The 21,703-nt window shown below is 40.4% G+C and overlaps 1 protein-coding gene across 3 annotated transcripts in view, besides 1 other annotated feature; it reads left to right on the forward strand.

Annotated features, from left to right (window-relative positions):
* Window positions 1–21,703, forward strand: part of PCCB (propionyl-CoA carboxylase subunit beta) — a 79,830-nt gene that overhangs the window by 42,148 nt on the left and 15,979 nt on the right. For all 3 annotated transcript variants that reach the window (NM_001178014.2, NM_000532.5, XM_011512873.2), the window contains 3 exons: window positions 1,269–1,377; window positions 5,465–5,585; window positions 8,543–8,624. In NM_001178014.2, coding sequence (NP_001171485.1) covers window positions 1,269–1,377; window positions 5,465–5,585; window positions 8,543–8,624 — 312 coding nt within the window. The remainder of the gene's footprint in view (window positions 1–1,268; window positions 1,378–5,464; window positions 5,586–8,542; window positions 8,625–21,703) is intronic.
* Window positions 4,401–4,976: an enhancer, noted in NCBI's record as "OCT4-NANOG hESC enhancer chr3:136015730-136016305 (GRCh37/hg19 assembly coordinates)". NCBI's record gives its function as "activates a minimal SCP1, AML or CMV promoter by ChIP-STARR-seq in naive H9 embryonic stem cells {active_cell/tissue: H9 hESC(naive)}" and the evidence as "EXISTENCE:reporter gene assay evidence [ECO:0000049][PMID:30033119]".

Below are 21,703 nucleotides of genomic sequence, written 5' to 3' on the forward strand. Positions count from 1 at the left end.
TTTATTGCAGAATTGCTTATTATACTAAAGTTTTGGAAACAACCTTCATGACCATCAATTGGTGAAAGTTATGATACAAATCCTACTATACTGATATGGAATAGAATGATCTTCAAGCTAGAAAAACAAATTTGAGAACAGTGTGTATTGAACTCTATGTGTATTGAACACAGTGTGTATTGAACACTATGTGTATTGAAAGAATGTGTTGGGAAGAAAATGTTTGCATTAGAAAGTGTTTGTGTTAGATAATGTTTGTGTTAGAAGATAAGAGGGCAAAGAGGGCAAATATATATATAAATGCACATGGATGCATGGGTGTCTCTGTAGAGAGAAGAAACTGACAGGGTATGCCTTAGGGGAGGCGAATTGGAGGCCTGGAAGTAAGGGCTGGGCTGTAGACTTTCCACTGTATCTCCTGTTCCTCTGTTTAAATTTTATGCAGTATACTTATATTATCTATATATTAGAAACTAAAAATTAAAAGCCTATCACTCTTTAATAGCAAAGCATTGATTTATTAGTTTTTTTGTTTTTGTTTTTGAGACAGGTTTTTACTCTGTCACCCAGGCTGGAGTGCAGTGGTGCAAGCAATCATAGCTCACTGCAACTCAAGTGATTGTCCCGCCTCACTCTCCTGAATAGCTAGGACTACAGGCACATGCCACCAGGCCTACCTAATTGAAACAAATTTTTATGGAGACTGGGTCTCGCTATGTTGGCCAGGCTGGTCTTGAACTCCTGGCCTGAAGTGATCCTCCTGCCTTGGCTTTCCAAAGTGTTGGGATTACAGATGTGAGCCACTGTAACCCACTGATTTATCAATATTTTTAAGTAGCTTCATTTAAAGTGACTGGTTGCATACAGTCTCCATATCTCAGTTTCCTCATATGTAAATGAGGGTGATAATAGTACTTAGGCTTTAGTGACACAGTTTTGTGAAGTGCTTAAAAAACTTCTTGGTGCACAGCAAGCTCTGAGTAAGAGCCACCTGTTACTGTGTTCTACAGATGAATGACCTTGAGATGTTAGCCACATTGCAAGTTAACTTCTGAGGTAGAACTGTGCAACAGAAATTTTTTAAAAAAGACAATAAGGCAGGGAAAACTTGGGTCTTTAGTTTGGAGTCGTATCTTTAAGCTACATCCTATCCTCATTCAGCCACGTCACTATCTTCTCTGCATTTGTCATCTTGGCTGAATCAACTCTAAGGCTGTGACCAGCTCTGGTGCTCTGAGGTTGACTGTTCTGGAAATCTTTTATTTCAGGACACCTCCTACCTGTTCATCACTGGCCCTGATGTTGTGAAGTCTGTCACCAATGAGGATGTTACCCAGGAGGAGCTCGGTGGTGCCAAGACCCACACCACCATGTCAGGTGAGAGGCCTTGAAGATGACCTTGTTGTTTTCAAACATTGAGAAGAGGGCATTGCCAAAGAGCCTGGTGGCAGTTTTTAAGAAATATTACTTAATTGGCAGACCTTATTTGGGAAGACTGTGGTACAGTCTATTGTACTACACTACAGTGTATTGTTTACAGATATAGTGATAAAGGTAGATTTAGTATATAAAATTTATTAAATAACACGCTATTAGTAATGCTTGGTTATTCTTTAAAACAATTTAGAGCTAGTTGCTGGAATGGTGATTATAAGTAGGTATGATTTATGTATGTACAGTTGAACCTTTGAAAAAAAATTTTATCTTATTGTGACATTTTTTATTCTAAGGTTGGTATATATCTTAGAGTACATAAGTGTTTTCCAATCATTGGCCAGGTGCATGATGGTCATATATCATGTGTTGATGAATTTGGTCATAGTTGTTAACTTCTTTTTTTTTGAGACAGGATCCAGCTCTGTGGCCCAGGCTGGAGTGCAGTGACACAATCTTAGCTTATTGCAACCTCCGCCTCCCAGGCTCAAGCAATCCTCCCACCACAGACTCTTGGGTAGCTAGGACTACAGGCATGCACCACCACACCCAGCAAATTTTTTTTTTTTTGTAGAGATGGGGTTTTACCATGTTGCCAGGCTGGTGTCAGACTCTTGGCCTCAAGCAATCTGCCCACCTTGGCTTCCCAAAGTGCTGGGATTACAGGCATGAGCCACCATACCTGGCTTTTGTTTTGTTTTGTTTTTGAGATAGGGTCTCATGCTATTGCCCAGGCTGGAGTGCAGGACACAGTGATAGCTCACTGTAGCCTCAGTCTTCCGGGCTCAAGTAATTCTTCTGCCTCAGCCTCTCTAGTAGCTGGGATTACAGGTATGTCACATCATACCCAGGTAATTTTTATTTTTAATATTTTTTTGTAGAGATGTGGTCTCACTGTGTTGTCCAGGTTGGTCTCGAACTCCTGGGCTTGAGCAATCCTCCCACTTCGACCTCCCAAAGTGCTGGGATTACAGGCGTGAGCCACCATGTCCGGCTAGTTGTTCACAACTTTAAGATTACGTACCAAGTTTAAAATGTATAAAGATTATTCTGTGCCTCAGCACTGAAACAAAAAGTTCTTGTTTAAACAGAAAGGCATGGAATTGGAAGTAGGGCATGATTCTGATATTAGTGAAGACATGTTAGCTGTTGGAGTAATTATTGCAATTCCATGTTTTCCTGTAAAAGAAACCACCCAGCTGTGAATGGATTACCTACCACACAGCAATGTAACTAAAGACAGGAGAAATTGCTTCTCTGAGAGATTTTACAGCAGTGAGAGGCTGGCATGCCTGATTTATGCACCTCATTGTACTGTGGTTAAGGCATTGGGTCAGCATTTAATTGTCAGCATTTCTTCCCAGTGTCCCTAAAGTAGAGATGTGTCTTATCAGTGAAGTCTTAGATTAGATGAAATGTAGTTTTAAAAAAGTTAGGGCTCTTGATCCCCCACCCACAAAAATTGTTTCTCCCCATGTCAGGTTGGCATCGATCTTGACTCATTCCTTTCCCTTACCTATCAGCATCATTTAGCCCCATCTTTAAGACATGTCTAGAATCAGAACACTTCTTAGCATCAACTCCAGCACGGCCTGATGCCATGCTATTGTCTCAGGGCTTTATTGGCAGCAGCCTGTTTTTCTTGCTGGTATATAATATAAAGCTGGGTCTTGATGGTGTCTTAGATTTGATGAAATATGCTGTTTATTTTTCCCCATTTTAATAGCATTATATGTTTGTAGTACAAAACTTAGAAAACATACAAAGCATAAAAACTGCTAGATATTCCATCATCCACAGATAATCACTAGTGATTTTTTGGTTATACCCTTGCAGTCTTTTCACGCACATGAGCGTGAATACACAAACACTTACTCAAACATAGGTATGGACATACTCTTATGTAACCTGAGTTTTTTTTTTTTTTTTACTTGACAGCTTAAAGTAATGAATGTCTGCCCATGACATTAAAGTTTCTTCTGTAGCACAATCTCAAGTACGTTTTGTTTGTTTTTTGATTGTAGGGCAGTATGTGGTTTTCTTTCTGGGCCTGAGGCTCTTTGATGGACTGTGTCTGATGCACTTGGCCCTGTATCCCCAGGGCAAGGCACAAAAAGGTGCTCCGTACATATATTTTTCTCTCTTTTCTTTTTTCTTTTGTGGTAACAGCTTTATTGAGATGTAATTCATATACCGTATATTTTAAACACCTATTTATAGTGTACAATTCAGTGGTTTTTAAAATACATTCAGAGTTGGATAATTATTACCACAATCAATTTCAGGACATTGTCATCACCCCAAGAAGAAACCCTGTGCCCATTAGCAGTCACTCTGCATTTCAACCACAGATACTTCTGCTCTAGGCAATTACCAGGCTACTTTCTGTCTCTGTGGATTTTTTCATTCTGGACATTTCCTAGAAATGGAATCATATAATATGTGATCTTTTGTAACTGGTTGCTTTTACTTAGCATAATGTTGTTAAAGGCTCATCCATGTTGTATCATGAATCAGTACTTTATTCATTTTTATGGCCGAATAATATTCCAGTGTGTGGATATACCACATCTAGTTTATTCATTGACCAGTTAATAGACACTGGGTCATTTCCACTTTTCGGCTATCATAAATATGCCTGTATTAATATTTATATGCAAGTTTTTGGGTAGACATATGTTTTCATTTCTCTTTGATTTCTGAGTTAAATGATAACTCGATGTTTAACTTTTAAGGAACTGACAGACTCTCTTCCAAAGTGGCTGTACCCATTTATAAATATTTTTTGAATGAAAGAATTCTGTCATGCTGAAAATGCTTTTTATTCAACAAATACTCATTTAGAATATGTGGAAAAAGGCAAATAGCAAAGGAATTAAAAATTTAAAATAGAATAATAAAAATGTAAAAAAAGAAACAAAACAAAACAAATATTCATCGAGTACCTATGTGTGAAGCATTGTTTTAGGTGCTAGGAATACATCTGTGGACAGAACAAAAGAAAGACACCTGCCCATATGGGGCTTATATTCTAGTAGAGGAGATAGACAATAAACATTGTAAATAAGTACACTATGCAGTATGTTAGAAGGCAATACGTGCTATGGAAAAAGTATAACAGGGTAAAGGGGACTGGGATTGTTGTAGTTTCAAATAGGGTGGTAACAGTAGGCCTCACTGAGGTTAGGAGCTGAGCAGATTTTAAGGAGTTAACTGCATTGATATGTAAGTGGGGAGCATTGCAGGCAGAGGGGAACAGCTTATGCAAAGGCTCTCGGTAGGAGAGTGACTGGCCCGATCAGTGAACAAGGAGGATCATTGGAGTAGAGACATGACACGATCTGACTTAAAAAGCTCTGTCTGTCAGCTTTGTGGACAAGAGACCGTAGGGGCAATGGTGAAAGAAAGGAGTCTGGTGGGATGAACCTGGGGAGAGAGTTCTTGGCTCCGCTTTCTCCATCATACCTATGGCCTTGTTTGGCTGCTCTGTGATTTCAGAGTGCTCTTCAAGAATTATGGCTTGATTCTCACTAGGGGCAGGTGGCTCCCCTCCTTTCCTTCCACTGTTGCTGTGCACCTGTTTGCCAGGTACATTATTCTTAATGTTGGCCAGGCCTGATCTTACCCTGTTGGAGCTGATATTCCAGGAGAGATGTCCGGCAGTAAACAGGGAAATAGGTGATGCAGAGAAAAGTACGGGAGGAGAACTCCCGCATGGTATAGGGATGGATAGTGAAGGATCTGGGAGTGGGTATGGAGGTGACATTAGAGCAAGGACCTGAATAAAGAAAGGTGTGACCCCTGTAGAGGTGTGGTTGCAGAACAGAGGGAACATGTGCTGCATGAGTTGAAGGATCACCCGGAAGGTATGTATTATGTGGCATTACATCCTCAGTGGAGGGTGCAGAGAACAGAGCTATCAGCACGGTCTGCTACTGACATGCCCTAGAAGGGCGCAGTCAGGCATGAAGCAGCAACTTTGGGCTGGCTGGTACCCTGACTCAATCATATATGCTCCCTGTTCTCTTAGGTGTGGCCCACAGAGCTTTTGAAAATGATGTTGATGCCTTGTGTAATCTCCGGGATTTCTTCAACTACCTGCCCCTGAGCAGTCAGGACCCGGCTCCCGTCCGTGAGTGCCACGATCCCAGGTGGGTTGTAGGCCGGTGCACCTTCTCTCATTTTGCAGTGTAGCTTGCCTTTCTCTGCCCTGACAGGACCCCCAGGGTCTGCCTTGTTGGGCAAGTTGCAGCAGAGTGTGGTAGAGTGGCTCCCAGGTGTGGGGATGATGTCATGTTTGGCTATAGGAGCAAAGAAAGATGATTTTATTTTCCTTTTTCCTCTCTGTAATATCTAATGTATATCTTGGTGGTGAAGAGTGGCCCAAAACAGTTTTAAAGAAAAATTTTTTGATTTCTAAGAAACTCTCAAGTTATCTAGAATTAGAGATTCAAGTTTTTTTTGGTCTGGCCTAGTCCCCATGAAGAAGTCTCCCATTTCCTTTCCTTCCCCTCACCCACAAAAGGAAGAGCCATGATTCTTCTTATGCTGACTATACCTGGCTTTTTTCTGTCTAAAGTGACTGGTTCCTGGGCTCTACCTAGTTGTCCTTTTGAAATAAATAAATGTAAAATGATGCAAACAGCATGCCCTTTAGGAAACATGTTTATGCATACTGCTTATAGCCAGAGGCTGGGACAGTCCTGGGGAAGGGTGTGTTGCTGGCCATCTGGTGAAGACCTTTCCTTTTGCTGTTGGAGTCTACCACCTGTTGTGGAGGCACCATAGAGTAAAGTGGAGGCCCTGCCCAGGAACTGCTCCACACCTCTAGCCGTTCCATTTTATTTCCTCTCCAAATTATAAGCACTCACTTGGCCTGGACTTTCTTCTGCAGAAGGGATTTGAAATTGTATTGTTTGGGAAGAGGTCATTTTCAGATGCTATCCTGTAGCTTAAACCTGGACTCCTTCCTGTGGGGCCTGGTCTGGGCCAGGGATGCTCTGAAGAGTTGTGTTGCCAGGGCCTCACTCTGTCTGCCTCTGCCCACTCCACAAGGGACATACCCAGTGGCCCACTGTGTGTAGTCATGGAGGGGAGAGTGGTCACAAGGTCCAGAGCTGTGGGTATAGCCTTTCTGAGTATACAGTTTGGAGTTCCTGAAGGGTTTAGGACATCACTTGAAGGTATTATGGCCCAGGAGCCCAGAAATGTCTGCATAGCCCGCTTTGGCCCAGCTATACCTCTTCTGCATATGATTCCAAGGGAGATATATATCCATATATATGTATACATATATATATGCATGTGTATATGCGTATATATGTATACGTGTATGTGTATATACATATGTTCATGTGTGCATATGTACGTATATGCATATATATGTATACATACATGTATACATATTTGTGCATACACACATACACATGCATACATATGCATGCATAGGTATATATGCATATGTATGTATATGTATGCTTATGTATATGCATATGTATGTATATGTATGCTTATGTATATATGCATATGTATGCATGTGTATGTATAGGTATGCATGTGTATGTATGTATATGCATGTGTATGTATAGGTATGCATGTGTATGTATGTATATGCATGTGTATAGGTATGCATGTGTATGTATGTATATGCATGTGTATGTATAGGTATGCATGTGTATGTATGTATATGCATGTGTATGTATAGGTATGCATGTGTATGTATGTATATGCATGTGTATGTATAGGTATGCATGTGTATGTATGTATATGCATGTGTATGTATAGGTATGCATGTGTATGTATGTATATGCATGTGTATGTATAGGTATGCATGTGTGTGTATGTATAGGTATGCATGTGTATGTATGTATATGCATGTGTATGTATAGGTATGCATGTGTATGTATGTATATGCATGTGTATGTATATGCATGCATATGTATGTATATGCATGCATGTGTATGTACGTATATGCGTACATATGTATGCATGTATATGTATGCATATGTATATGTATACGCATATGCATACATATATACATGTATGCATGTATACACACATGCATGTGTATATATGCATACCCACACATATGCATGTGTACACGCCCACACATGCATATATGCATGCCCACACACATGCATATCAACACATATATGCATATACGCATATCTACACATATACATACATGCATATCTACACGTGTATATATGTATATCTACACATGTGTTCACATACATATATACACATATGTATATGTGTATATATGTATGACAAGTAAAAAGGGAGGACTTTATTAGCAGATGGGGCTACCCTTAGTTTTCTTTCCAGCGTAGAGCTTTTTGCGAAGTTGGGCTTGATGGACACATGGCCTGACCCAAGGCCAAACCTCAGCCCAGGAGTACGTCTCAGGGTCACTGTAGCCCCTGGCTGCCCACACTGGGAAGGAGGGAATGAAAGCCTATTGGAGAGAAGAGGTTGGAGAGGGGCAAGTTGCTGGGTCCTCCTGTAGAGTGGGAGTGGGCTCTGGCTTAGTTTTTCTGCTGAGACACTTGGATGCAGGAGGAAGGAGAGAGTCCATGAGCCTGCATGTGACAGGTTCTGTGGTGATTTTGCCCAGAGGGCCTGCAGTTTTGCTTTTTGAAGGAGCTTTAGCAGATTAACCTAACAGGGAATGTGAACCCACAGTGGTTTATGCAGAGCTCTGCCTTTGCATTTCCAAGTCCTTGTTCTTTTAATGTTCCAGGAAGTTGGGCTGGGCTCTCCCAGGGCTGTGTCTTGTTCACTATAATGTCCTTCAGTGCCCTACACGGTACCTAGAATGTAGGAGGTATTCAGAGAAGATAAATGAAAGAATAACGTTTAGAGGAATAAACTCATTTTTTCCTCTAAAAGAGAACCAGAAGATCTTTTGGATTGATACTTGTCCCAGGTTCAGTTAATATGGTGGTTAAAAAGGAATGACTCTTTGGTGACTGCTTTGTAAGCCCAGCAGGGACAGAACTGGCCCAGTCCCTATGACGTGTCACCCCATTTCCTTTCCCACCCCATTCCCACAAAAGGTAACTGGCTCTTCCTATGTTGACTATACCTGCCTTTTTTCTGCCTAAAGTGACCGTCTGGTTCCTGAGCTTGACACAATTGTCCCTTTGGAATCAACCAAAGCCTACAACATGGTGGACATCATACACTCTGTAAGTGCCACATCTGTTTGTCTTGCCTGTCCTAGTCAGCCACATTCATGGGCATTGTGCTTCGGCTTAGTGAGGAAGCACTGGACCACTTGGCCTCCATGTCAGACAGCACAGGTCGGGAATAGGGTGGGCACAGGACCAGTGGCCACTGAGTAGTGTGTTCTGGAAAGACCTAGTGGCTATAGATACCCTAGTGGCACAGATGGACTTGAGGGCTGGAGATAGGAGTAGTAAGGGCCAGCAGAGCTCAGGAGTCTTTAGAAGGCCCTCTGAGGATCATAAATTAGGGGCCATGTCCACAGAGTCTAGAGTGAGGCCAGAGTGATCATTGTTAAGTATCATTGGGGCCCTCTGCTCAGAGGGGGTTTTGTCTTTATAGAGAAGAGAGTACACAGGGCATCCTAGAAGGTTGGACTGTGTGTGTGGAGGTCCGTGGGAGACAGGAGCCATTTGTACCTTTTTTTGGTACAGCAGATTCCTGGGTCATTAAGTAAAGGGGACAGTGTTGGGCAAACTGAAGGCATCTGTAGATGGCCAATGCCTTCCTTAAGGGTACACTGTGCTCTCGGTAGTCCTTGTGCAACACATCGTGATGGCTCTCTGGTAACTCTAGAAGTCAGATTCTCCCTCTTCCCTAGGGTTTGCTGTTTTCTGTTATTGTTTTTGTCTTTTTTATTCTTGTAGTCTCTTCCTGCACCAAGGATTAGCCTGAGATGTAACCTTAAGGTCTTCCTTAGGTCTTTTCTGAGCCTTTGCAGGGGCACGTGCAATCACTTTCTAATTTTCCCTGCATATGCAGTTGTTTTTGAGTGTCCTAGTTGTTAACGTCTGGCTCCCAAAAGTAGAAAAAGAGAAAAAAAATGAAGATGGTAAAAAGATGTCAGCCCTTTAAATTCCTTGGAAGTCAGTTCAGCCCAAAGCAGGAGAGCCTCGCAACAGTGTGGGGAGTTGTAGCAACAGTGACCACCCATCTCTTTGCACCTCTGTGATCAGAAGCAGCAGTCAGCAAGCACAGATTCTCAATATTTGGAGGACAGGGTCCTTTTATGCCCACCCCGGCTCCTGCAAGCTGTGTGCAAACTGCTGCAGGAACACTTGCGGAAATATCTGTCATGGAGCTGGGGTGGGGGATGGGTAGCTGCTACTATGCTAAGAGCTGAAATTAACTCCAATTTTCAGTCCAATCCTTCCCCTGGAAGTTGCAGTCTTTCAACAGACGCCAGAGTCAAAATAGTTCCATCAGACAGATTCTGCCAGGCAATTGTTGCCTGGGTGGGGAGACAGATTCCTGGTGCTTCCTACTCTGCCATCTTCTAACTTTTTCTTAAGGTACATATGATAACTCTTGATTCTCATTATAAAGTTTTATATCCTGCTACCTATTAAATACTCTTGTTTGTAATTTTTTTCTGTCATTTATTTAGGGTTTTATTTTATTTATTTATTTTTATTTTATTTTATTATTATTATACTTTAAGTTTTAGGGTACATGTGCACAATGTGCAGGTTAGTTACATATGTATACATGTGCCATGCTGGTGTGCTGCACCTGTTAACTCGTCATTTAGCATTAGGTATATCTCCTAATGCTATCCCTCCCCCCTCCCCCAACCCCACAACAGTCCCCAGAGTGTGGTATTTAGGGTTTTAAAAATGTGGTTGTATACTGTCTATGTATAAATAAGAGTTCTGTCGGGTGCAGGGGCTCATGCCTATAATCCCAATGCTTTGGGAGGCTAAGGCAGGAGGATCCTTTCATGCCAGGAGCTCAAAACCAGCCTGGACAACATAATGAGTCACCATCTCTATAAAAAGTAAAAAAATTTGCTGGGTGAGGTGGCTGTCGCCTGTAGTCCCATTTACTTGGGAGGCTGAGATGGGAGGATTGCTTGAACCCAGGTGTTTGAGGCTGTTCTGAGTTATGATCATTGCCACTGCACTCCATCCTGGTGTGCAAGACTCCATCGCCAAAAATAAGTAAATGAATAAAATTTTATCTTTCCAGTTATTTTACATGTCATTTCTTTCCTTGTCTTGCATTGGCTACAACTCCCTATATGTCAAATGTAATGGTGAATCATAGTTGTGATTCTGGGCATCTTTGTATTGTTTGTAAGTTTAGCAAGACTGCTGTCAGTGTTTCCTAATTTATATCTTTTTTCATGTTGAAGCTACTACTGGCTTCTGTTTTAAATATTTTTGTTGTTGTTTATTTTGTTCTTAAAGTTAGGAATGAGTGTTGAATATTGTTGAATGCACTTTCAGTGTTTTTGGAGATGATCATGTGATTTTCTTCCTTAGATCTATTTATAAATCTATCCTAGTAGATTTCTGAATACTAAACTTCCTTCATTCCTGAAGTTGTATATTCTGTTTGCTAATGTTTTGAGTTTCTGCATTGATATTATGTGATACTAGTGCGTATATTTTAAGGTATTTTAAAATCAGGTTTTGGTATCGATGTTGTATTTGCTTTACTTATTTATTTATTTAAAAAAAATTTTTTTTTGAGACAGAGTTTTGCTCTTGTCACCCAAGCTGGAATGCGGTGGCACAATCTCTACTCACTGCAACCCCTGCCTCCTGGGTTCAACCAATTCTCCTGCATCAGACTCCCAAGTAGCTGGGATTACAGGCGAGCCCTACCATGTCCGGCTAATTTTTGTACTTTTAGTAGAGACACGGTTTCGCCATGTTGGCCAGGCTGGTCTTGAACTTCTGACCTCAGGTGATCCACCTGCCTTGGCCCCACAAAGTGCTGGGATTACAGGTGTGAGCCACCGTGCCTGGCCTGTATTTGCTTTATGTATTAGTGTTCTAGTGCTGCCATAAGAAAATACCATAAACTGCATAGCTTAAACAACAGAAATTTATTTTCTGTCAGTTCTGGAGGCTAGAAGTCCAAGATCATGGTGTTGGCAGGGTTGGCTTCATTCTGAGGTCTGTGTCTCTTTGGCTTCTGGACTACACTCTTGCTGTGTCCTCACGAGGTCTTTGCTCTCAGTGCATGCAGAAAGAGATCTCTGGTATCTCTTCGTCTTTTTTTTTTTTTTTTCCCTCAGAGACAGGGTCTTGCTTTGTCACCCAGGCTGGAGTGCAGCGGTGTGACTTTGACTCACTGCAGGCTTGACCTCCTGTGCTCAAGTGATCTTCCCACTTCAGCCTCCTGAGTAGCTGGGACTATAGCTGCATGCCACCACATCTGGCTAATTTTAAAATTTTTTGTAGAGATGGCAACTCACTATGTTGCCCAGGCTGGCTTTTCCAATTATTTATTTATTTTTTTTTGAGTTGGAGTCTGGCTCTGTCGCCCGGGCTGGAGTGCAGTGGCGTGATCTCGGCTCACTGCAAGCTCTGCCTCCCGGGTACACGCCATTCTCCTGCCTCAGCCACCCAAGTAGCAGGGACTACAGGCACCCACCACCATGCCTGGCTAATTTTGTTTTTGTATTTTTAGTAGAGACGGGGTTTCACCGTGTTAGCCAGGATAGTCTCGATCTCCCGACCTCGTGATCTGCCCGCCTTGGCCTCCCAAAGTGTTGGGATTACAGATGTGAGCCACTGTGCCCGGCTGGCTTTCCAATTCTTTTCTTTTTTTTGAGATGGAGTCTCACTCTGTCGCCAGGCTGGAGTGCAGTGGCACAATCTCAGCTTAGTGCAACCTCTGCCTCCCGGGTTCAAGTGATTCTCCTGCCTCAACCTCCTGAATAGCTGTGATTTCAGGCACCCGCCACCACGCTTGGCTAATTTTTGTATTTTTAGTAGAGACGGGGTTTCACCATGTTTGCCAGGATGGTCTTGATCTCCTGACCTCATGATCCGCCTGCCTCGGCCTCCCAAAGTGCTGGGATTACAGGCATGAGCCACGGGCGCCAACCCAGCTTTTCCAATTTTTAAAAGAATTCCAGTCCTAACAGATTAGGGTCCCCCTCTTATGGCCCCGTTTAACTTTAATTACCTCTGGAACATCCCTCTCTCCAAATTCACTTTTTTTTTTCTTTGAGACAGAGTCTAACTCTGTTGCCCAGGCCAGTGTGCAGTGGCGAGATCACGGCTCATTGCAACTTCCACCTTCCAGGTTCAGGAGATGCTTCTGCCTCAGCCTCTCAAGTAGCTGGGATTACAGGTGTGTGCCACCATGCCTGGCTAATTTTTGTATTTTTAGAGATGGGGTTTCGCCATGTTGGCCAGGCTGGTCTCAAACTCCTGGCTTCAAGTGATCCACTTGCCTCGGCCTCCCAAACTACTGGCATTAGAGGTGTAAGCCACTGCACCTAGACCATATATTTACTTTTAACTCAAAAAGTATTGTATTATTACACTTTTTTATTTTGCTTTTTAAAAAAACTTCTTCTGGCCGGGCGTGGTGGCTCATGCCTGTAATTCCAGCACTTTGGGAGGCTGAGGCGGGTGGATCACTTGAGGTCAGGAGTTCGAGACCAGCTTGACCAACACGGTGAAAACCTGTCTCTATTGAAAATACAAAAATTAGCCGGGTGTGGTGGTGTGTCCCTGTAATCCCAGCTACTGGAGAGACTGAGGCAGGAGAATCACTTAAACTGGGGAGGCACAGGTTGCAATGAGCTGAGATTGCACCATTGCATTTCAGCCTGGGCGATGAGTGAAACTGTCTCTAAAAAAAAAAAAAAAGAAAGAAAAAAAGTGAATATGCTAGAAAAGAGTCAAAGCAGTGACTTTAGAAGCTACTTAAGAGTGCACACACAAATCAATACGGTAGTCAGGGGAAGGCATTACTTCTGGGGAAGAAGAGTACAAAGGAAAGAGAGAGGTACCTTTGGAAATTGTGAAGGGAAAATGAAGCAAGGGGGTTACATTTATGTACCTGCAAGACATACAAAATCGAATACACTGAAGGACACTACATCTTTCCCCATCACCCTCCCTAAAATTAGTCACCCATGAACTAAACTGCACTTTGCTATACTGACAGAAGAGGGTGCTCTTGAACTAGGATTTTTGTTCATTTGTTCATCTGCCAGCTTTGGAGAATGCAGATACAAATAGTTTTCATTTATATAAAGCTACAATAAGAAAACAAAAAGTGAGAATGAAACATGTCAGTTGATGGAACTCCCTTCACTGTAAAAGTCAATCATGAAGCAGCTGACTATGCTTCAATCTGAGTGCAGTAGCCCCTGATAAGCATTTGAGGTTGTAAAAATAGAAAATTCAGAAACTAATGACAAGATGGAGAGATAATAGTAAGAAGTTAAAGCTGATTGAATTAAGAAAATGGGCAGGGGAGACAAAATTGCATCAGAAATGATATCAAAATTGCAAGGTGCTCAAAGGAGAATGTATTTCAATGAAAATTTAATAAGGAACATTAAAGAAAAGTAGATAAATAGCCTAAAAAATGAATGAAATAATATAAAAAAGTAAAAGTAGATTTTACATTCTCACCACAAAAAAGTATGTGAGGTGGTGGATATGTTAACTAGCTTTAGTCATCCTACACTGTATACATATATGAAAACATGTACGTTGTACATATATGCAATTATAAAATTTTAAAATAGTACAGATACCTTTAATACAATTATTGGTTATATTGTCACATCTGGGATTAATTTTTTAAAATTCTTAGTTAAATGTATGAGAAAAAAGTGACTACAATGAAAGGCAAAGAAGAATGAACATACATATAATTGGAGTGTCTGAAGAAAAACCAGTAGAACAGACTTAATATTTAAAACTGTAATCCAAGAAAATAGTCCAGAAATAAAATAAGATTCAGATTTATATAATGAAAGAGCACACTGAGCACGTGGGAAAATTGACCCAGAATTGTCAAACTAGAGAAAATATTAACTGTTCGATTTTTAAAATAAGGAGAAATACTCAGGACCTTTGGGCAGAAATCAAATGACTTACAAGGGCAAGAGAATAAAATGGCATCCAACTTCTCCAAAGCAACGTAGAAAAGCAAGGAAACAACAGAAAAGCACTTTCAGGAGGCTGAAGGAAAGAATCTGTGACTAAGGATTTTATGTTTAGCAAAGCTCACCTTCATGTATTAAGACTGCAGAAAACCAGTTTTAAACCAAGAACCGAGGGAAGTTTGTGTTAATGAGGCTTTCTTGAGGAATCTACTAGAGAATGAGCTTTATCCAATCAAGAGGTAGCTGGAGAAATTTCAACAAAAGGATTGGTAGTGATTATCTAATATACTTAATTATAATTCTAAGACTAAAACAGAAGTGGGGATGAGGGTAGAGAACAATGTATAAGTACTATATGTTTAGTTTCAGAAAAAAATGCAACTGAAAAATGGGAGGAGAAGAGAGGGGAAGAATATTGCAGAATCAGCTCACTGATTATTGTTAGCTAACAGATATCATTAAAAACAAACTAGTTAATAAAAGATTAAGGAAATGAACTAAAGGCATCAAAAGGCATAATTACAAAGGTAACCACTAGACTAAAAAATACAAACATTCTTTAATACTACTCACATAAACAGTATATATCATTGTGGGTAATGATAAAGGGGAAAAATAAAAAAAAAGGTAAAAGACAATAAATATAGAATACATAGTAATTATAAAAAATAATATGACAGGCCAGGCGTGGTGGCTCATGCCTGTAATTCCAGTACTTTGGGAGGCTGAGGCGAGCAGATCACCTGAGGTTGGAAGTTTGAGACCAGCCTGACCAACATGGAGAAACCCTATCTCTACTGAAAATACAAAATTAGCCAGGTGTGGTGGCACATGCCTGTAATCCCAGCTACCCGGGAGGCTGAGGCAGGAGAATCGCTTGAACCCAGGAGGCAGAGGTTGTGGTGAGCCGAGATTGCACCATTGCACTCAAGCCTGGGCAACAAGAGTGAAACTCCATCTCAAAATAATAATAATAATAATAATAATATGATAGTAAAAAAGTGTCATACCAATAAATATGGATGGGTTTGATTCACTTGTTAAAAATATGTCTAATTTGTTATGGACCAATTATATTCAGTATATAAATGTGATTCAGAAAGGCTAAAAATAAGGAATGGGCAGAAATATACTGGGAGAATGGAAACAATAACAGCAGTATTTGTGACACTAATATTGAACAGAGTAAAGTTCAGGTATTAACCATAATAAGGAAGGACTTTTTTTTTTTTTTTTTGATATGGAGTCTCACTCTGTAACCCAGGCTGGAGTGCTGTGGCACAATCTCAGCCCACCGCAACTTCCACCTCCCAGGTTCAAGTGATTCTCCTGCCTCAGCTTCCCAGGAAGGACATTTTCAACTGCTAAAAGCCATAGTTCACAATGATAATGTAAAGCATATCGAATATCTGTGCCAGAAATAACCACCATCTTTATAAAGCTGAAACTATAGGAGATTCAACAGACTTAGGTAGAAAGACTGAATAGGAGATGTATACACAGCATTGTTATTACAAAGCAGGTCAAATGGACAAAAGTAATAATTTAGGAGACCTAAATAACGTAATAGGTAGATCTTACACATTTCTTTTGGACTTTACACCCTGGTAATGAACAATAAATCTTATTCTGAAGTGCACATGGAATATTCACAAAAGTTGATCATATGTATTAGATCAGAAAGAAAACATCATTAAATCCCATAGAGCAAAAAATACTGTGAAACAACATTGCTTAAAATTAGAAACTTTTGTAGCAACTAAAACAAAAGTAGCCTCCAGCCGGGAAATAAATCTTCTAGTAAACAATTCTTGGATGAAAGGGGAAAATAGAAACCAAATGACAGAATTCTAAAAGAAAAAAAGACAAAACACTATGTGTCAAAACCTATAGAATATGTTTAAAACGATGAACAGATGAAAATCTGTTTCCTGAAACAGTAAAAATCAGAGAAGGAAAATAAACAGGCCAGGTGCGGTGGCTCACACATGTAATCCCAGCACTTTGGGAGGCCGAGGCAGGTGGATTGCTTGAGCTCAGGAGTTTGAGACCAGCCTGGGCAACACGGTGAAACCCCGTCTCTACTAAAATACAAAAAATTAGCTAGGCATGGCGGCATGTGCCTGTAATCCCAGGTACTCAGGAGGCTGAGACAGGAGAATCGCTTGAACCTGGGAGGCAGAGGTTGCAGTGAGCCCAGATCGTGCCACTGCACTCCAGCCTGGGTGACAGAGCAAGACTCCATCTCAAAAAAAAAAAAAAAAAAGAAAAGAAAAACAGATTCCCAACTGGAAAAGCCAGGGGAAAAAACCCTGTAAAATATTTCAGAATAAATCCAAGAAATAATTTAATAAGGATAAATGCAGAAATTTATGATGGAAATAGAAGAATAGCTGCAATTAGTAAACACTGGCTAACTTCAAAAAAGAGACAGTAAAAGCAGAAGTATGAAGTGAGAAAGGGAATAACCATTGAAAAAGAAGAAACTTAAGAATCGTTAAGAGGCCAGGTGTGGTGGCTCATGCCTATAATCCCAGCACTTTGGGAGGCTGAGGTGGGAGGATCGCTTGAAGCCAGGAGTTGAAGACCAACCTGGGCAACATAGTGAGTCCCTGTCTCTACAAAAATTTTTAAAGTTAACTGGGTGTGGTGGCATGCACCTATAGTCCCAGCTACTTGAGAGGCCTCAGTGTAGGAGAATTGCTAGAACACAGGAGTTCAAGGCTGTAGTGAGCTGTGATTGCACCATCATACTCCAGCCTGGGCAACATAGTGAGACCCTGTCTCAAAAAAAAAAAAAATTCTAAGAGACAAGATACATTGGAAAATTTGTTTGGAAAACACAGTTTAACAGAAATTGATCCCATCAGAGATAGGAAGCTTAAATGAACCACCAAATTCCACGGAAGGAATTACTTCACCAAAAAGCACAAGGAGCTGGATTCAGTGGCTCATGCCTATAATCCCAACATTTTGGGATGCTAAAACGGGAGGATTGTTTGAGCCCAGGAATTTGAGACCAGCCTGGGCAACATGACGAAACTCTGTCTCTACAAAAAATAAATTAGGGCCAGGCAAGGTGGCTCACACCTGTAATCCCGCACTTTGGGAGGCCGAGGTGGGCGGATCACCTGAGGTCGGGAGTTCGAGACCAGCCTGACTAACATGGAGAAACCTCGTCTTTACTAAAAATACAGAATTAGCCAGGTGTGGTGGTACATGCCTGTAATCCCCGCTACTCGGGAGGCTGAGGCAGGAGAATTGCTTGAACCCAGGAGGCGGAGGTTGCGATGAGCCAAGATCGTGCCATTGCACTCCAGCCTGGGCAACAAGAGCGAAACTCCATCTAAAAAAAAAAAAAAGCCAGGCATGGTGGTATGCACCTGTAGTCCCAGCTACTGGGGAGGCCAAGGTGGGAGTTCACTTGAGCCCAGGAAGTTGAGGGAGCAGTTAACCATGTTTGTGCCACGGCACTCTACCCTGGGTGACAGAGCAAGACTCTGTCTCAAACAAACAAACACCAGGCCCAAATAGTTTCATGTGGAATTTCTGAGACCTTTAAGGGCCAAATAGTCCTAGTGCCACATAAATTCTTCCAGAGCATAGAAAGTAAACAAAACACACAAGAACCTTCCAAAATTTTTTAAAAGAAGTATGATATCAGTACCTGAACCTGATAAAGGTAGTACTTAAGATTTCAGTTTCATATTGCTTATTTCTTTAAAATTATATCTGTGGCCTACTGGGATGTATTCTAGGAATGCAAGATTGGTTCTAGGAAACTCAATAATATACTGTATTAACACATATAGGGGAGAAAAATCACAATTATTTATATAGACGCTGAAGAAAACCTTTAAGAAACATCAATACCTATTCCTGATAGACTTCATAAAATAGGAATTAATACTTTCTTAATGTAATAAAATTTGGTATAGACCTTTTCAAAAGCCTGCATCTCACCTAATAAAGACTAGCTTCTACTAGGATTAGGAACAAGTATAGGATGCCCATTATTCCCATTATTATTTAACATTGTTCTGGAAATATTAACCAATACAGTTATCCAAGAAGAGGACCAATTAGAGACAAAAGCCTTGGGAGAGATGTCAAGCTGTAACGTAGGTGATATAGTATTGTAGTATTCAAGAAAACTCTAGAGAATGCATTATTATACTAAAACAATACTTGAGGAACAGGATACAAAATTAACATATAGAAATCTTCATATACGCAAGCAGTAACCAATTATGGTAGAGTAAAAGCCTCTCTTACATAGCAACAGGAAGATAAAATATTTAGTAATAATTTTAACAGGAATGTACAGAAGCTGTTTTAGGGCAAATTTATTTTTTTAGACAGGGTTTCACTCTGTCACCCAGGATGGAGTGCAGTGACCCAGTCACAACTCACTGCAGCTTCAACTTCCTGGTCAAGCAATCCTCCCACATTGCCAGGACTACAGGCATGCATCACCACACACACCTGATTTAATATTTTTTTTTTTGTAGGAAGAATTCCTGCTATGTTGCCCAGGCTGGTCTCGAACTCTTGGGCTCAAGCGATCCTTCTGCCTTGGCCTTCCAAAGTGCTGGGATTTTAGGTGTGAGCCCCCAAGCCCAGCCCAGGGTGATCTTAAAAACACTTTTGAAAATCAAAAGTAGGCCAGGCATGGTGGCTCACACCTGTAATCCCAGCACTTTAGGAAGCTGAGGAGGGAAGATCCTTTGAGCCCAGGAGTTTGAGACCATCCTGGGCAACATAGTGAGACCTTGTCTGTACAAAACAAAACATTAAAATAGACTTGAACAAATGGAAAGACATTCCTTGTTCCTGGGGTTAATGTTATTAACAAACTGGTGATTCTTAAGTTGTTCTATAAATTTAAGGCAATCCCAATAAACAGTTTTTAAAAACTAGAACTAGATAAGTTTATACAAAAGTGCACATGGAAAAATAAAAGTGCAAGAATACCTAAGAATATACTGCAAAAGAAAAGCTGTAAGTGGGGACTAGCCATGCTTTATATTACAGCATCCTATAGTTAAAACTGTGGTACAGGCACATAAATAGACCAGTGGAATAGAATAAAAGAGCCAGAAATAGACTCAAGTACATACAGAATTTTAGTACAGTCACGCGTTGCGTAACAACAGGGATGTGTTCTGAGAAATGCATCATTAGGCAGTTTCTTTGTGCGACCATCATAGAGTGTACTTCCACAAACCTAGATGGTATAACCTATTACACACCTAGGATCTGTGGTATAGTCTGTTGCTCTTAGGCTGCAAACCTGTATAGCACGTTACTGTACCAAACACTGTATGCAGTTGTAACACAATGGTAAGTATGTATCTAAACATAAAAAGGGTACAGTAAAAATAGGGTATTACAATAGGACCACCTTCCTATAGGCAGTTTGTCATTGACCAGAACCTCTTTGTGTAGTGCCCAACTGTATATGATAATGATATTTTATCAAATCTCAGGGGCAAAAATTAGCTTTTAATAAATGATGCTGGGGCAACTGACTAGCCATTTAGGAAAATATAAAATTAGATTCATACTTTACACCATGTACAAAAATAAACTACAAATGGGTCAGAAAACTAAATATAATCTGTGAATCCATACAAGCACTAAAAGAAAACACAGATGAATTCCTCTGAAACCTTAGGGGAAGGTTTAGAAATGCTTTTGAACTGTAACTCAACTAGTTTCAGTGAAAGATAGACAAAGCTGACTGTGAAAATTTTAAAATCCCACTCTTCATAGCAAAAAACTATAAATAAAATCAAAAGGCAACCAATATGCTAGAAGAAACTCTTGGCAGCATGTATCCCAGAGTATGAATATTCTTAATAAAGAGCTCTTATGCTGAGGGATTAACAACCAAAATTGATAGAAAAGTGGGCAAAAAACCACGGATAGATAGCTCACAAAAAAGATATAAAATGGACCTTAAACATGTCAAAAGATTTTCAACTTCATACATAATGCTAGAAATACAAATTCAAATTACACTGAGTATTTTCTCATATGTTAGATTGGCTAAAAATAAAAACCCCGAAAACACTTTCCATTGGAAAGTCAGTGGAGAAGCAGGCACTCCTGTGCATTGCTGGTAGGGGACTCTGGTATTATCCAGGACTAAATTAGCATTTGCCCTTTAACTCAGCAATCCCATTCCTAGCAATTTACCCTGAAGATACACTTCCCACCATACAAAATTATAGATGTACGAGGTTACGACCATTACGTTGTCATTTGTAATTGCGAGATACTCTAAATAACCTAAATGTAAATTTTAAAATAATGTAAGCCACGTGTAGATTGGTTGAATAAACTTTGGTACATCACACAGTACAGTACTATGCAGAAGTGAAAAAGAATGATGATCTCTATGAACTGATAGGAAGTGATTCCCAGGACATATTAAGTGAAAAAATTCAAAGTGCAAGAGTGTCTGTACTGTTACTTTCCATGTAAGAAGGGTAAATTAAAAGATACAAATGCAAACACACACATAATACATCAGAAAATAATGAGATTAATAACAGGGTAGGTGGGACTAGGGTGGAAGGGATGGGGAAGGAACACTATTAAACTGTATTAGTATTTTACATATTAAAAAATAAAATCAAGACTGGGGAAAACCTTTAAAATGAAATACAAACATGAACCTGTTTTAAATGAGTGTCTTTTGAACCTATATTTTGACTATATACCTTTAATCTAAAGACCAAAATAGCTGTAAAAAAATTCTAGCTAGTAGGTCTGTTTTTTGTAGCTAAGTTAGCAGTTCTGAAACCATTTTCTCTGTATTTGAGGATCGAATAAATAAGTACATTTTGAGGGTAGTAGCAGCCAGATTCTGCTATCGGAGAAGGGAGTTGTGAATATGGCAAGAGAAAAAAATCTAGAATGAACCCTATAGTTGCACTGGAGTAGGATTAGAATTATCAGCATGAACTCATGGTTTTTCATATAGCTGGACTTTGGACGTTTTAGAAGGAGTCACACACACACACACATCCCTAAAAGGAACCCAGGCCTTTTGGAGAAATGGCTGATTGTAGGGCTGGGGCAGGAAAGAAACCAAGATGAACCAGAAAGTAAGATACTTCCAAAATATAAGGTAGTGCTCAAAGAATGATGGGGACACTTTAGAAGGAC

Source organism: Homo sapiens, chromosome 3 (genome assembly GCF_000001405.40).
Source record: "Homo sapiens chromosome 3, GRCh38.p14 Primary Assembly".
Lineage (NCBI taxonomy): Eukaryota > Metazoa > Chordata > Mammalia > Primates > Hominidae > Homo > Homo sapiens.